The sequence below is a fragment of the Homo sapiens genome, chromosome 5 (assembly GCF_000001405.40).
Source record: "Homo sapiens chromosome 5, GRCh38.p14 Primary Assembly".
Lineage (NCBI taxonomy): Eukaryota > Metazoa > Chordata > Mammalia > Primates > Hominidae > Homo > Homo sapiens.
The window spans coordinates 158,872,724-158,890,445 of record NC_000005.10 but is presented as its reverse complement, the minus strand read 5'-3'; the positions used below and the strand labels follow the sequence as shown (position 1 = coordinate 158,890,445).

The 17,722-nt window shown below is 39.7% G+C and overlaps 1 protein-coding gene across 28 annotated transcripts in view, besides 1 other annotated feature; it reads left to right on the top strand.

Annotated features, from left to right (window-relative positions):
• Window positions 1-17,722, top strand: part of EBF1 (EBF transcription factor 1) — a 403,997-nt gene that overhangs the window by 209,471 nt on the left and 176,804 nt on the right. The window lies entirely within an intron of this gene.
• Window positions 8,845-9,024: an enhancer, noted in NCBI's record as "active region_23536". NCBI's record gives its function as "activates an Ori minimal core promoter by ATAC-STARR-seq in GM12878 lymphoblastoid cells {active_cell/tissue: GM12878}" and the evidence as "EXISTENCE:reporter gene assay evidence [ECO:0000049][PMID:35858748]".

Below are 17,722 nucleotides of genomic sequence, written 5' to 3'. Positions count from 1 at the left end.
TCGTTGAGAAGTTTGCATGGTTCTGAGAGGCATGTAGAAGTGGCTGGTGGCTATTTGTTTTGGAATTAAATATATGAGGATAAGGGCTGTTAAATGAATAAGCAAATGCGGATCATCTTTGACATTCTTTGTAGGAAAGCATAATTACCACATTGAATAAAGGCCTAGTGGCCAGACAGCAGGAATTAAACATTTTTAAAAAATTAAGTAAGTGTAACATTTAGGGAAAAAACTCTTAAAATATCCCTGTGTGACAGTTTTAGCTTTGCACAATTTTTTTATATCTAGCATATATATTTTCATTTTACGCATTCTCACAACAACCTAGGGGATTAGACAGGAGGATATTATTATAGTTGTCCTTCCGTATCTGTGGGGGATTGGATCCAGCATGCCCCCTTGGATAACAAAATCTGCAGATGCTCAAATCCTTTATATAAAATGTCATAATATTTGCATATAACCTAGGCATATTCTCCCGTATACTTTAATCTCTATATTACTTAAAATACCCAAATCAATGTAAATGCTATGTGAATTGTTGCCATACTGTATTTTTAAACATTTATTTTATTTTCGTATCATTGTTTATTGTTTGAATATCTTTGATTTGTGGTTGGTTGAATCTGTGGATGTGAAACCCCATAGATAAGGAGGACCAACTGCAGAAGAGGAGTAGAGAAGACCTAGATGTTGGCTTTGACTCTGCTGGTAGCTCATTCCATGACTTCACACATATTCCCTTAATCCCTCTGGGTCTAATCTGTAAAATGGAACATCTGAGCAAATAATTTGTGAAGCTTTTCTGCTCTAGATTCTAGAAACCTTTAGTTGTCCAGTTTCACTAATGAATTAGGGATAACAGAGGCTAGAATCCCATTCTCGTAGCTCAGCATCATAAATAACTTAGATGTACTTATTCTCAAGCTTTCTGCTCAGCTTTGCCATCATTGAGGTTTTTTTCCTTAATTTTTCCTGTATATAACATTAAGCAGTAGAGGAATTGCTAGGACTTGTACAAATTTATTTTTAAAATTTTAACCTCAAGAAACCTAAGTAGAATGACAAAGTGGATCCTTTAGCTGCTCCAACTGAAAAGCTGGCTAAATACTGTCCTCAGCAGAATTTTCCAGGGTCCTTCTTGCCATATCCCACTTGCAAGTACTGTCTCCCCATCCTCACCACTTGCCATCCCCATCTATTGATTTAGATGTGGTTTATTCCACAAGTACTTGTTGAATGCTTACCATAGGCCAGGCATACAGTATTAGGTGTTTAAATTAGCATTATAGAATCCTGGCCACTTTCTAAATGGTGGAGTTTGAAGTTGTGGGAAATCAGGGTAGTTTTGGTAGTGTTACAAGTGTTACAAGTCTTTCTCAGTGGGGAACATATGTGGGGAAAAAACCCTAAAGTAATCAGTGGGAACTTAATACCTAAATACATGGATGGGATGGGAGCAGGAAAGGAAGAGAATTATTCAACATATTGGTGGGAGAAGTAAAGGGAAGAAAATTCTGCTTGTGTTGATTGGGAGAGGACACATCTATGACAGGGAAGATAGCAGGAGGAAAATCTGGTGGGAAGATGAAGAGGAAGAAGGAGGAAGAGAACCCTAGGTTAATAGATGGAGATGGTGGTGAGTGTTCCTGGAGTGGCAGAGGCTGGAGGAGAATTGCATTATGGGAGGGATGATAGGGCAGTAGTGGAGATATGAAGGAGTAAATTCATATCGAGACACAAATTAAACCTTTTTGGTTATTGTTTTTCCCACTGCAGACTTCTCCTCTATTCAAAATGTATCAGTACCAGTTCCATGGTCTTTAATATAATTTGTCAATTTTTACTGGGATCTGGTGGAGGTATTTATTTTAAATTGAAAAGATATAGTCATAGAAAATGTTTTCTTGACAACTCACTGAACAAATTTAGCACATTGGCTGTGAAAGCTTTCTGTAGCTATGTAGATTTATTACTTTTATGACTCTATACTAGGTTCACATTCTTGCCTCTTAGGAATGAATGTACACAACTTTCTCTGAGAACAATTTGGCCCAGTTACATTTTATTAGCCATAATACATGCTAGCCATAGTCAGTATTCTTTCTGGTATTTTGATATTAAGTCAGACATTGATTCCACAATATACACACAACAAACACACACACACGCACGCACACACACACACACGAATAAAAAATGAGGAGTGAATTTTAAGAGGCTCTTTCATTTCTTCACCAACTAGGAAAAACGGAAAAAGAACTTAGTGGTGGTAACTGTCAATATATGTTGCCTTTTGTGGCGTCTCTTTCCTAATCAAATAAATAATTTGTAAGGTTTTGATGAGAAAAGGATGTGACTTCTGCCGAGCCCTCACCTGCCAGCTTTACTCCAAGCAGACTGATTTAGAGGTTTAAGCAGAGAAACAGTCCTTTCTCCTGTTTGCCCTGGAAACAGAGAGCCCCATGGTGAGGTTAATCATTTGAATTTTGCAATTCATATTGAGGCAAAACAGAAATCATTCTTCACCTTAAACCCTGGAAATGTGTTGGCAAACTTTTCAGAGCTCAAGGTAAGGCTTTTCCCCCCACTCTTTGAATCATAAACATGAATGCTTTAAATATATTTTTTCATAACCCAGTCTCCCACTGAAGTGAATCTTACTGGGCAATAGAAAATGGAGTAGAAATCACTTCTAGAATACTGGGTTAAAGTGAAAATAAATAGAGGAGTATAAAAGACGCTTCCAATCACAGAGAAGCTTGTTGAGGATGCAGGTGGAACCTGACCGTGAAGGTTGTCATTCACAATGGTACCTTGCCCATATGCTTTTCTTAAGAATTGTCTGGCAAAATGTATACATTTTATTTAATAGTATGTATTATTAATATTTATTAAATATGAAATTTAGTTAAAACTGCTTCTGAGAAACAGGACATCTCAGAGATGAGCCTTAGCGTGAAGCTCACTAATTCTAGGCCCAAGAATTTTGCAACAACATTACAGTTGTTTTCTACAATGGCTGTTTCTGAAGAAAGGACGTATACATTGAAGCCAATTTTTAAAATCTAGGGTGGTTGATGGTAAACTTTGTGGTTTATTTTTAGGATCAAAGAATTTCTAAGTTATTGACAAGGAAAAGATGTATCTTCGGCTTGGCTGTTATAATTCAGCAGATGTCTCTGTACCTGTTAGGTTTTATTGGCCATATTTTTCGAATGAAAATAGAGACATATGGTCCTATATGTCTAAAAAAGTTACGACAACAGAACAGAAGCCATTCATTTGCTGAGTCATTGAAAAGAAATGTTAAGTACCAATTTGTTTTTGCCAATTGGTGTGCCCAAAAAAGACTGAATATTTGAAACTGGGGCCTTTGAAGAATCTAGGTTTCTACATCTGTGGTGTCCTCTTCTGTTAATATAAAGTCTCTCTTTTTTTTTGAGATGGAGTTTCTCTCTTGTTGCCCAGGCTGGAGTGCAATGGCACGATCTCGGCTCATTGCAACCTCCACCTCCTGGGTTCAAGCAATTCTCCTGCCTCAGCTTCCTGAGTAGCTGGGATTACACGTGCCCGCCGCCACACCCAACTAGTTTTTGTATTTGTAGTAGAGACCGTGTTGGCCAAGCTGGTCTCGAACTCCTGACCTCAGGTGGTCTGCCTGCCTTGGCCTCCCTAAGTGCTGGGATTACAGGCATGAGCCACCATGCCCAGCCTAAGTCTCCTTTTGTAAAGAAAATAATCATCCCATCTGTGTTTTGAATTTAAAATAAGTATGCATTTTCTCAAACTGGCTGTACATGTTGTTAATCTCCTAGTATGTAGGCAGCATTACCTTATGTAAATATCTGGCTAGAAGTAAATCTTTGAAAGAGAAACAGAAACATGACTTACTTTATATTAGTTTAAGATAGACAGAGGGTTTGGGATTGGAGTTCCATGCGGTGAAAACCCTCTTTTACCCCCAAATCTGTACAGAAATGCTTTAATCTAAAGAATGTATTTGTGAATCCTTTGGACTCGAAAACACCAGTGCAGAGCAAATGCCTATCTATCTAACTTGGAATGTTATACTTCAGAAATAGCATGGAATGTGTCAGTTATTGATGAGGATTGCTGGAAGACACTGAGCATCTGGCTTCAGACCAGCTTTTGATTTGCCAATGCAAGGAGCGTCTGTTGGGTTTGTAAAACTTGTGGTTTAGCCACTGGTCCACACAGCTTTTCCAATGCAACATTTTGATGACAGGCATGCCTTGAATTATGACTTTGCTTCTAACAGGCTGCATAGACAATAGCTGTATCCTTGTAGATAATCTGGAAGGTAGGAATTGATGGATTCCTCTAAGGATTAGGACAGAAGAGTTGGGCAAAGGGAGTGGCACACCTTCCCATTCACACCCAGCACTGCCAGCAAGGCCAGGCTCCTTTCCTCCTCCTGCCTTAGAACAACCTCCTTCAAACTGTACTTGGAGTGAGACTTGGGGGAAGTTGTAGGGAGGGCAGAGGCAGAGAAGCAATTTCAACAGGTACTTTGCAGAATATACCTGCTACATTTGATCACATATTTTCTGACATTTTTCTATGCTAGGAAGAGAAAACTGAAAACAACAGAGAACATCATGGCAGAGAATAATGGTTGACATAGCCTTCGGTGCTTGGCAGACCCAGGTTTGAGTCCTAATTCTGACACTTGGTAGGATGACATTTAAATGACTTGCCCAGACATTGTGGACCTTGTTTCCATATCTGTAATGGAGCCAGTATCTTTCCTGCAGAGTCATTGTTGAGGATTTGATGAGCAGAGGTGGACAAAGTGGTAGTGGAGTGCCTGGCCCATAGCAGGTGCTCAATAAACTCTGATGATATGATGATGATTGTGTGGGTTGCTTCTGCTCCTTGTAATACCCCTGCAATGTGTGCATGATTAACTGATCCTCTGAATATCACTGAACCAATAGTACCACCACCCAGGCAGCTCCATCAGCCCAAAGCAAGGGTGTCACCCTTATTTAGTCTGTCATTAACTCCTGACCGCATTACTGACTTAACATTTCTTGCCTGCGTCCACTTCTCTTTCTCGTGTCCTCTTTATTTTCCACTCTGACAACTGTGACTGTCTTCTCACTGTTCCCCTTTCCTTTTATGTGGCTCCGTTTTAATTTGTCTTCCACGTGACAGCCAGAGGGCTGCTTCTAAAACATCATCTTCTGGCTGAAACTTTTCCATGTCTTCCCATTGTCATCTGGATGAACTTTAGATGCATAAGCAAATTGCCTGTGTCTTCAGTGGTCAGCCTGGGCTTATGTCTCCTTCCTCTGCATCCCCAAACAGTCATAGACCTGGCCTCCTACCACACTGAGCTCCCTGCAGTTGCAGGAGTGGGCCTTTAACCTCAGGCAGGTGTGCTTTTGCACATGCTGCATCTGCTGCCTGGAGCACCCCTTCTCTCCATTTGTGAGACAAATAGCACAGAAGCTCTGGGTATGAATGTAGAGTTAGGCCACCTGCATTTGAATCCTGGATCTCCCTCTCAGTAGCTGGGTGACTTTGGGTAAATTTTAATTTCTCTGTGTCTCAATTCCTCATTTTAAATTATGGATAATACTACCTACTTTTCCTGTCAATAAGCACAAATGGATGAAGAGACATAAATTATGTAAGATATTTTCTATCATAGAGTAAGCAATTAATTTAATATTAGTAGTATAATAATGATGATCAGTATTGTTCTTGCTGCTGTTTCAGAATTGCACTCAGGATTAAACTCTGTCATGATGATTTTTCTGACATACCCCCAAAGGCTGAGTCGGGTGTGTCTCTTGCACCTTCCTGTTGTGCCCTGTGTTCCACCTAAAAGCACTCTCACACAGCATTCCAGCTGTCTCTTCAACTTTCCCCTGTCCTGAGGGCTACCTTGCCTACCTTTTTTCATTTTTATGTCTTCAGCAGTGAGCATGGTGCTTGGCAAGTAATTAGTGCTAAATAGATGCTTATTGAATGTATTATTTTCATTTTACAGATGAGAAAAGTGAGATTAAAAGAATTTGAGAGGTGTATTAAAGTGTTCACAGAACTCCCTAGATTCATATTTCTCATCTACAAAAGAGGGTATAATCAAGTACTTGTTAGAGTCAGGAATAAACCGAGATCTCTCTGACTTTCACCTCCTCATTTATTCCACTATGCCTCACTTACTGTATTTTGCTAAGATGATTCTGATCAAATTGAAATGGATGACACTTGATTTAGTGTCACAGCAGCTATTCTGTTCTTTGAACCAAAATAAGTCTCTGAAAATATGACAACAGTGACTTAAGCTGTCAGGATAGAAAAATGTTAGCAAATAATAGTATTGTGCCAGAAACTTTACAGGGTGCAGGGTGTTTGTGTACCTGCTGTAACAGGTTCATACTAGAGAAAAGTTGCTGTGTGTGTTGGAGTGCGCAGCTTCCCTGAAGACATCTCGGTTCCCAAGGCAGTGCTGAGTTTGCTATGTGCTTCCTAACTTTTTGCTGTGCTGGGAGGTTTGTTAGTTTCTGCCTTGTTAGTAGTATATATGGCTCTTATAATAGACTGTGAGCTCCTCCAGGGCAAGGACCGCTTTTTTATCTTCGTATCTTCCTTGGTTCTTCACACAGTGCCAGAGTAAAATGCTTTGAACAGTAGGGAAGGAGACACACAGGCTTTGGCATCTGGTGGAACCCAGGCTCAGTGGCTTATCAGCTGTGAATTGAGTAAGCTGCGTAACCTGCCAAAGCCTTAACTTCCCTACTTGTAAAACGGGGCTAACTACTCTCATAGGATTGTGAGACTTGGAGATGGTAATGTTTGTAATATCCTCAGCATAGTTCCTGGTGCTGATTCAAGGCTACCATCTCTGGAGCACTTAGCACTCAAGCGAGCACAGTGCCTTTTAGTAGGGAGTGCACGGTGGGGCATGCTGAATGTGTTATTAACTCTCTGCATCACCTGGGTATGCGTTTCTTTATACTGATATGTGTATGTGTATATATATATATACGTATGTATGTATATATATACACACATGTATGTATGTATATATATACATGTATGTATGTGTATATATATATATACATGCATGTATGTGTGTGTATATATATACACATGTATGTATGTATATATATGTTCCTGTAAAGTGAAGAAAAGCTGTCGCCAGAAAAAGGGACATTCATGTTTTATGTGTATTATGTGTGTATATACACAAACATTTGTATCTATGCATACATGTATATACACACAGACACAGATACACACATTTCAAAAATGAATGTACCTCTCTCTGGTGACAGCTTCCCTTCACTTTTTTTTTTAACATTACATACATATTTTGAAGAAAAAAGACTGATAGGATCAAAATGGCTGCAGGCATTTTATGGGCTTGGGGATTGTCTCCTCTTCCATAAAGAAATAGTAAAACAAGAGGAATGAAGGAAGAAACACAAGAGAGGTTAACAAATAGAAATGGAATGATTCACCCCCTTTTTCTTTCTTTCAAGGCCTGTGTCTTTACCCACAGATAAATAAATTCCTAACACAGTCATGCAGATTCACACATGAACAGCGGGGCTCTGCACCGTCTTGGGGTGCACCTGCAGTGCGAGGTGCTCGATGGTGTGTAACACAGCAACATGTATTGCTCCATGAATATCCCTGTGCTATCGAAACCTCCTATTGGAGAAGATATGTTAAAAGACTACCATCTTTCCAGTCCCAAATCACTTGCATCTTGGAATTACTGAGTTGTTGACCATTACTTTCCTATCCTTTTTTATTTTAAGGACTCATTGTTGTGATAAGGTTGGACACAGTTATTTTTCCTTCGAGAAACTTTGCATATTTTTATCTTGTATTGTCACAAAATAATTAGGAAAGTCTCCTAATTTCTGTATACCTTTCTCCAACACCTATCTTTCTAGCTTGGGTCTGTAAATGTTCCAGGACTTGGATTATCCCTTTGCTGGTTGAGTACCTGGCATCTAGCATATTGCAGCCCAGAATACGTGGCAGGCTCTGGGGATGCCAACTCATTTTAAGGAGAAAACACTCATTTTTCCTGTGACAATGAGCATGACATTCGCATGCTTGCATCCAGTACCGACTTGCTGCTTTTATACCAAATGGAGAGACGTTACTAAATGAACATTTCTTGCTCTTGTGTAAATAGATAGATTAATGGTGTTAAGTGAAAGCCAAGCCTGCTTGAAATGTTAACTTCCTTATGGGGTTTTGAGTTTCTCTTATTTTTGATAAATGGACCAATCTGGCAATAAAATCCTTGCACAGTAGGTTAATAATGTCATAGCTGAACTGTGAAATAGTAATGTGTGTACCATCTCTCAGCAAACAATAATCCTTGAAGCCTGATAAATCTATTTCCAGCCCAATTGCATGTTCATTGTTACCCACAACTCCTTCTTTGCAAATACAAAGCAGTTTCGTCACATGTATTTTTAAGCAGAAGCAACTAGGGAAGTCAAAGACACATAGCCCTGTGAAGGGAGGTGGGGGACAGATTCATTTTTAGCTCTTCTGAGCCCCTCCTGCCCCCAGGGCCTGAAGTCACTCCTGAGAATCCCTGCATTGCTGGTTGGGGTGCAGTGTAACCTTCCAGTCCTCCCTGAGCCCAAATCACTGATTTGCTGCTGGAAGCAGACAAGGATTGGGACCAAGGAAGCAAACATCCCCCAGGCTCTTCAGTTTTCATTGATCACTTGGTTGCAAGCAAGGTTTGGTGCTATTTAGCCCATATCCCTGATGACAAGAGAGGTGATGTGGAGACTTCTCTATGCTGACTTCCCATAGAGCTGGGAATATAGAATCTGGTGAATGTCTGCAGGCTTCAGACAGCCCGCAGCACATACAGACCTGTGTGCAGAGCACTTCAGCACCGCAGCAGATCGTAAACAAAAGACAGCCAAATGCCCTCCTTGTACTAACACAGAGGAGGAGGTATGGCCCCCTCTTGCCCATCTGTAGCCAGGGGCAGGCAAGTCCAGGGTAAAATTTACACTGCGTTGCTAAAAAAGAGAACTGTATCCAGAATCACGGGTGATTTTGAGGGGATTATTTAAGCGTCAGAATCTAAGTAGCTTGGGGCAGTTCACATAAACTTGACAAACAGGCTACTTTAGTCCTGTCTGACTGTATCAGCATAATAGGGCAATGAAGCTTTTATTCATTCAAAGAAAGGTTGAGTTTGATTGGCAGGGCAGCCTGCCTGAACGCGAGTGGCTCTTTCCCCCAACACTTCTCTGCTATCAATTACCGTTTTGAATACGAAGTGTTTCTAATGTAAAATAATGCCAACCTCTGCTTCTGTCCTCAGGCCCCAGAGTTTCTTTGTGTTATTTATTCCCAGTCTGTGACTGTTCTGAACCTTCCTCTCTTTACTGTGTTTTTTTTTCCCCTCTTCTTCTTCTTTGCAGTCTGTAAGTGATGTAACATTGCCAGCAGAAGTGAGGTTCATGCAGAAAACATTCCTGCTCTTTATTTTAATCAATAACCTCCTGGGTGAATGACATTTCCACCTTAGTGATTTAAAATCAGAAGACCAGGGGATGTCCGTGCTTGTGAATCACCCCGGGTTCCAGGAACAAAGAAGGCATTTTTGTTTTTTGTAATTTCCCCTTCACACTACAAACAACTGGGCTCTGAAGTTGATTTCATTTAGCAGTCAACTTCTGTCTAGAAAAATGTGCACAACTGAACCGAACACCGTTCTTATTTAAATCGGCAAGCGATTTGCTTCAGCTGCCATCTGTTGGCCGGTTAGCTATTTTAATTTGATGCTGGGGACATTACCTGACTTTGTATATTGCATTTTGATCTGCATCATGTTTGAGAAATATCTGCAAATGACTCTAAGGGAGAGGACTTTGAAGGATTCTATCGAACAAATATGTACATATGTTTAGTGCCGTGCTGGGCAGAGGAGTGTGGGAATGTACCAGCGTGTATATAAGACAGTGTGCATCTTACCTAATAATCTTTATGGCCAGATTGAGAATAAATTTTTCGAAATTTTCTTTCTTCCGCATTTCCAACTGACCCTTATTTAAAAGTCATTAATGTTGAGCTCTCTCATGGTATCTTTATCCATTTTTCTAAAGCTGCGGTTTCTCAGGTTATCAAGTTTATAACCCTTGTGAGCAAGTCACGGATGGTGGAGGAAGCATGATGGAGTATCTGCATGAGACGGGGGGCTGAGTGTGGGAAACTTGTGGGATCTTCTCATCCTCCCTTTCTCAGAGCACCCAGAGTTTGACAGCGCTTTGTGAGTGTTTATCAAGAGCCTCCCAAAAGAGGCCGTGGGGCGATTTGCGAAGTGCACAAGGCAAAAAGTCAATAGCCTGTTTTCTTGTGCTGGCTGGGCTTCTTGCCATTAATTAGTTGTGTGATTTGGGGCTAGTCCTTTAACCCATCTGCACTTCCATCTCTGTGTGTGTAAAATGAGGTGATTGTACCAGGCGATCTCTAAACACCCTTCCTGCCCTGATGTTCCAGAAAGCCTGGTTCGGGAGAGAGAGAGACAGACACAGAAAGGCGTGTGGCCCAATCTCTGCTCTCAAGTATTTCAACCATAGGAGCGATTAATATTCACTACACAGATTCAAAATCGGGGCTACTCCAGGGCTGGGGTGCCCTCCTGTCCGTTTCTTTTCTCCTCTAATAAACTCAAATTGCCTACAACTTTTCTTTTTATTATTATTATTATACTTTAAGTTCTAGGGTACATGTGCACAATGTGCAGATTTCTTACATATGTATACATGTGCCATGTTGGTGTGCTGACATGCACACATATGTTTATTGCGGCACTATTCACAATAGCAAAGACTTGGAACCATCCCAAATGTCTATCAATGCCTACAACTTTTCAACATGATTTTATTCTTCTCAGCATTGCCTTCCACACAATGCTCTTTTCTATATAACTTCTTCCTGTGAGGTTCTGTAATATTTGCTCTGTGCCTTTCTTTTCTCACATTCATTATCTTTCAGGTAGAAACACCCAAGAGTGTTTCCACTTGAACTTTCCTCTTTCTCAGGACAGCCTCTTTGCCAAACCCATCTTGACGCATGTACTCTCTTCCTTGAGCGTATGTGCTTGCAAACACTGTGTATGGTAGAATCATATGTTGCCACATTGAAGACATATAAGATGCCTCCAGTTTCTATGTTCACCATTGTGATCATTGATCACATATATGTGCCCAGTTACATACTGTACTGAACCAACCATCCTATGCCAGACGTTTACAAACAAAACATTCAGAAAACAGATGGGGCATAGAGGATGATAATAAGGCAGAGTGGATGGCAGGAATCAGCAGAGTGAATAATAGGGATGTAGACTAGACCAAAGGAGAAAAAAAATCCTGGGAGTTTTGGTTGCAAATTTGGAATGAAGAGAATCTATTCTTTTTTTCTGTTTATTGGGCTTTAGGACTGTGTAAACAAATTTAGGCTGGCTAGGCCAGGCATAGTGGCTCACAGCTGTACTCCCAGCAAGCACTTTGGGAGGCTAAGGCAGGCGGAACACTTGAGGTCGGGAGTTTGAAACCACCCTGGCCAACATGGTGAAACTCCATCTCTACTAAAAATAAAAAAATTAGCTGAGCACCGTGGCACATCCCTGTAATCCCAGCTACTCAGGAGGCTGAGGAAAGAGACTCACTTGAACCCGGGAGGCGGAGGTTGCAGTGAGCTGAGATCATTCCACTGCACTCCAGCCTGGGTGACAGAGCAAGACTCTGTCTCAGGAAAAAAAAAAAAAAGGCTGGCTAGAAGTAGAAATGTGTGATCTTGGGGAAATTGCTCAAATTACTCGTCTGAGTGTCAGTTTCCTTGTTGAAAAATGAAGGCAGTACTAGTATATACCCACATCATAGTGTTGTTGTGGGGGTTAAATGAGATAATGAGATTAAATGAGACATAGCATTTAGCAGGGCACCTGGCCCACAATAAGGATTCAGTAAATATTTCCTCTTGTTACTGTTATGTGGAAGTCATAACACCAGAAACCAGTGCCTTAATTGAAGAGATACTTTTAGAGAAATGGGCACTAGCTTTGATTTGGGAGGCTCTGTGGTCACAAGTCCCTCCAATCTAACCAGTAAAGCTTTCTCTTTCCTCTCTCTCTTCCCATGCCACTTTCTCATGCTCATATACATTTTTTTCCTGCTGATAGTTATATATACAGATCTGTCCTCACTCCAAAGCAGGTCAATATTCTCATTGCTGTTCGTTGCAAAGTCATAGGTGATTTATTACTAGGGAAAATACTTTTTGGATTCTGCATTTGCATAATCAATTAGTTAGTGTTTTCTGGGTTGTCTTCTGCTTGCAAATTGATTTAAACTTCTCCCGTGAGCAGTGACAAGTTTTCTTTGGACGTGAGCACCTGACAGAGTTGCAGTTGGTTTAGGTTCCATACAGCAACATGGAGTTATGTTATTTTCCATTGTGACTCAGGAGTTGGCATATGCATTCTATTCCTTGCTGGTTTTGCAGGCACTGGAAGCTATTATTTCCAGAGCAATATATGGCGACCGGAAATGACTTCGTTCCTAATTATTCTAATGAGGCTTCCCAACCATTATTGGAAAAGGAAGCCATGGAAATTGTGCATCCTCACAAAACTTAGTACTGTCAGCATAACATTAGGTCTAAAAAGGTTTTCAAAATATAATACCAATTGGAAAGTGTGTGTGTGTGTGTGCGTTTGTAGTATTTGGTTATAAACTATTATCATAACTCAGGGTCACTAAAATGTCTCTCTAGAAAGAGAACAGCCTAACAGGAATGAAATAATTTAGTCTCTATTTTTGATGAAGCAATAATATTTTTGAACAGTCAGCTGAATGCCTTCTAAGTTGCCTGGGTGCCTAAAGGGCTTAGAAAGTTCTTCCATGGAGATAAATAAGCTGTCAATTCATGATGAAGAAAATCAAACTCATGGTGTTGATCTTGGCTGGGACGCTGGTACAAGTATGAGAGAAATTTTTGCCGAGATGTAGCATAGCCCATGTGTTAGCAGTTAGCACTCCAGTGCCATACTGTGCCTCTGCTCGCCTTTTCAAAAGGTAAACATGGCTGTCGAAATAAGGAAAAGAAAAGATTAACCCATTCAGGGGCATGCACCTAGTAAGTGACACTGTAGCTCCCTAGAGGATACAAAAAGAATAGGGGCAAGAGTCCAGAGAGTGGCTGTTATTCAGTTACTGGATTTCCTCTTCTCAGCACCTTCTCAGAGTTGGGCTTGGAACTGTGGGCTTGGAACTGTGGGAAAACTGAAGTGAATCTGGGTGCAGTAGGAAAAGGAGTTGGTGGAGATAGAGGCTTCAAGAAAATACATGCCAAAAGCCAGTTCACTTGCTCAGTTCTTTACACTTTTACAATAAAACAGGGTATTTCTCTGACTTTGTGGTCTAAAGTCATGCATATTTTGGAGCACCTAAAAGAAAACAGCAAACAGCTTACTTCTATTTGTACCAGGTTAGTGCACGAATGTAAAAAAGACCTCTAAATGTTACCCTCCTATTATGAAAATCCAAAGCTGGGCATGAGCAGAAGAAAGGGAGAGAATCATGCTATTTTTTAATTTCCTTTGTATTAATACAATCGAAAGGGGGCTATCAAAGCATAACACTGGCCTGCCCTCCAGCTGCTGCGGTAGGTGGCGTTTCACTCGGTTGCCTTGAGATTTACAAATTCTAAAGGTATTTTCATGCCTCCAAATTGAACACAAAAGGCAGGCCCATGGAACAGTGGCTCTGAACTTCTTAAACTGAATAATAGGGCAACGTGAAACTTTTTATGGAAAGATGTTGTTTTTCCTGAAGTTCTTGCAGTACAGGTTGTAGGAGCTTCCTTTTCTCTCTATGCCCTCGGAGGTCTCACAAAGCAGCAGGCTCAGTGAGACCGAAAACATCAGTGTGTCTCCCATCTAGGAAGTCTCCAGTAATAACTGGTCCATGTAATGAAAGTTTCTTCTAGCCAAGACTCAAATAGAGAATTCTGATGTAACTTCCTGAAGAGTACACTAGAGGGAAAAGGGGTCGTGGGATTGAGGGTAGAGATACATGAATCTCTCTAAGCCTCAGTTTTCGTATCCTTAAATGGAGACAATAATAATACTACCTATTAGAGGTATTGGGAGGCTAAAGGAGACAGTGCCTGCAAAGTACAGTGCCTGCTTTATTGCAAGCTCACTGTAAATACTTGAGGTTGTTACTGATTTTTGTTCCTGCTAATATTATTATATTTTATATTATTGGCCGTAGTGTTTCAACTAGTCATGTGATACCGAATATGCCATGGAACAGTTTTTTGGCCTCTAAACTTTTCGCATCCACAAAATGAAGCAGTTGGATCAGAAGATATCTAAGGTTCCTTCCTGTGCTAAGATCCTAGAGTCCTAAAGTTCCATTCTTGTTGTTGTAATGAAGTGAAAAGCACACATATTCATACCAAAAGGGTCATAAATTTAAGATTCTTCTGTGGAGGGACTGGGAAAAGTCTTTACAGTTTTAGGTTGTAATTAAGAAAGTGAATTATGCTAAAATTGACTTTAGGAAAACAATGGTGTTTTGTGTAACCACATGGATATCATCTGGGTATATGTAAATAGGAGGCAGGTAAAAATGATGAATGCTAATCTCTGTAAAATTCAAATGAATATTAACTCTTATTCAAATAGCACAAGTACATTGCACAGGGAAATCAAGACGTGAATTCATATAATTTCATTTTTTTCAGCTGTGCACATCCTTTGGTTACAGAAACAGCTCAGAACTTAGGCATTGCTCATTTCCTAATAGAGTATGACATCTGGGCTGCTACTTTTAAATATAGTAGCTTGTTTGCTCAGGCTTATGGCTCAGTAATATTTGTTTTGTCTTATGAATGTAGTGAAAGCAGGGATTACAGGTATTCCTCAAGGACTAATTAGAAATAAAAGCTTATGTATATGAGGGAAGTTTTCGGATAGGAAGTGCTCTTGCTTGAGTCATGAAGTGACACTGGTTTCAGTTTCAATTTTGATACATTGGAACTTGGTACTTTTTGTAGAGTCCATTTGGAAAGGTTAAAAAAATCACTTGGAATTATCTGCAGAAGTTCAGGTTAAAAATTGTTTGTCCTTCTTCCTCGGTTTCAAGCTCCTCTACCCTATTGACAAATTCATACCTTCATTCCTCTGTTTGGATTTTAGGAAATAAATTCAAGAAAAGAAAAATATGTAACTATCATCACTGTTTCCATAAAATAAAGGTGTTCTAGAGATCAAAGAGAGGCCTTGTCTTGGAAATACAATTTGGCCAAAACTGCCTGGTGTGTGTGTGTGTGTGTGTGTGTGTGTGTGTATGTGTGTGTGTGTGCTTGTGTGTGTTCATCTCTCCATGATTCATTCTGAGAGCTGTTTTAGCCTTCATAAAATATTCATGCTAGTTGTGCATGGTTCTATAATTGCCATCTCAGGCCTTGAATTATTTATAGGTTGTACTGTTCACATAGTCTCATTTACTGATAGAGAAGATAACACCATACAAGAGGATCCCAAACACTCTGAGGCCTGTTACTTTGCATTAAGTAGTGGAATTATATTACTGTAGGTGTAAAACACTGGCCTTTTTTTTCCTCCTCTCCCTTTAATATATCATTTTTGTATTTATAATATGCTAATTGTCAGAATGCTGTTAAGCCTCATAATTCCTGCCGAGTCTTGCAGAAATCAAGATGTGGCTGAGATGATTTAGCTCTTGATCTCAGAATGATCGTTCTAAAAAAAACCTGTCTACACACAGCGTAATTTATTGAAATGATGTATGACTTTACATGCATACCTGAGCCCTTTTGTTTTGTACTATTGATCAGTTTGTATGTCTCAGTGTTAACCAACACGTGGTTGGTTTCGGTAGACATTTACCAAGAGCCTTGCAAGCTTGCTGTCCCTAATTAAATACTGAGTCTCAATTCACTTGTGTGACAGTTTCTCTGCACCTATTTATTTTGCTTTCCTAATTCTCCTTTCCCTTTTCTGCCAACTTGATCTTTCTTCCACATAGATTATATTCTTGATATTTATTTGAGGGTAGGAACATGCTATAGGAACATACTATAGTTGTATCTCCTCTCTCTTTTTTTGGTGTTATTTAGTTGCAAAAGTCCATTTAATGTTAATAAATATCAAAAGCCAGATTCACCACAGAGTGTACTTTTCTGGTATTTCATTATCAGTATCCATGTTTAAAGAGGAAAAACAGAAAAATTCATGGCAGCTCATAATCTGCTGATATATTCTAGTTTTCTCCTCTACCAGTGGAAACTCATGAATTTTCCTCTGGCCTAGGAACTTCCAACTCTATACAAATCACTAACAAACAATCCTCCATCTCCTCTCTTTAGGCTGATCAATATTTTCTCTCTAGCCTTCTTTCCATCATACAGGTTGTGTTCCCTTATGTGTGTGATGTGAGCTTTCCCATACCTATATTAGCCAACTCGCAGCTTCTCACTGTTGATCTGCATACTGCTGGTGGTGGTACTTCTCACTGTATACCTACATACTGCTGGATGCTTTTAAGTGGTACCTGTAGGTGTCTTTAAATAGCACTGAATTAGGTGATAAGGAAATCATCTTATTTAAAATTTCTTTTAGTTTTCCTGATGAGGCCAAAGTCCTTGTTTGGTGGGAATCTGTCTTTAACACCTCCCTCACATTTGCTTCATCTTGGTTTTCAATGAGTACCCTGTGGTAGGCAACAGTATCTAGCCAAAATTTAGTAAATTTTTAAAATTTTGTTTACATTCACTTTTAATTATGTTGCTTTCTTTTATCTCAGATAAGTAGTATGGGTTTTCATTCATAGTAGGAATGGAAAGTGTCATTCAAAAATAAGTTTATTAGGGATAAAAGGAAATGAGTCAGTATACATAAAATATTAAGTGAATATTATTATAGGTAAAAATGGCAAAAACTCTGAAGGTGCTGTTATGAGTGATTGAAGTTCAGGGAACACTGTGGCAATGCCAAAATGTGGCGAATCACTCTAGAGAGCTGTGTATTCTATAGAGTCAAAGGGAATGGAAGGGTTGAGTGATGCATAAAAAGAGGATGTAGAATCTAAGATGCTAGTGGGGGTAAAGACGTGCACTTTTGGGCAATTCACTTATCTTTGTCTTTAGACAGTAAAATCCCCACTAACTAGGGTTCTGGTCAGTCGGCTTTTCTAATTGAAGGTTCACTTGTATTGATGAAAATCATTTCTAATGGCACAGGAGTCCCATTTCCACTATAGTAAGTCAGAGTTGAGGGAGAAATTGACTATCATTAATGAATGAAGGTTTTCAGGTTGTTTTAAGCCATTGTGGATCTTGTAATGTTGATTAGCAGTAAAAAAAAAAAAAAAAAAAAAAAAAAAAATTAGTGTCATTCTTGACTGAAGAGCCCTGGACAAAGGTATGGCTTTTGATAAAGCCAAAATATTAGCTTGTTTTGTTATTCAAAGGGAATGTGCTCTGGGAGATTTCTGGTCTACACCCAGGGACAGTGCCTGGCATATTGTAACAGCTTAGCACATACCCATTGTATTGAACTGAATTAATGGTATGTAGCAGGGCTCTGATTAACTAATAGTTCCTCCAAAAATGTACACACAGAAAAGAAAAGTGAAGCATGATTGAAGATGAAATAAGA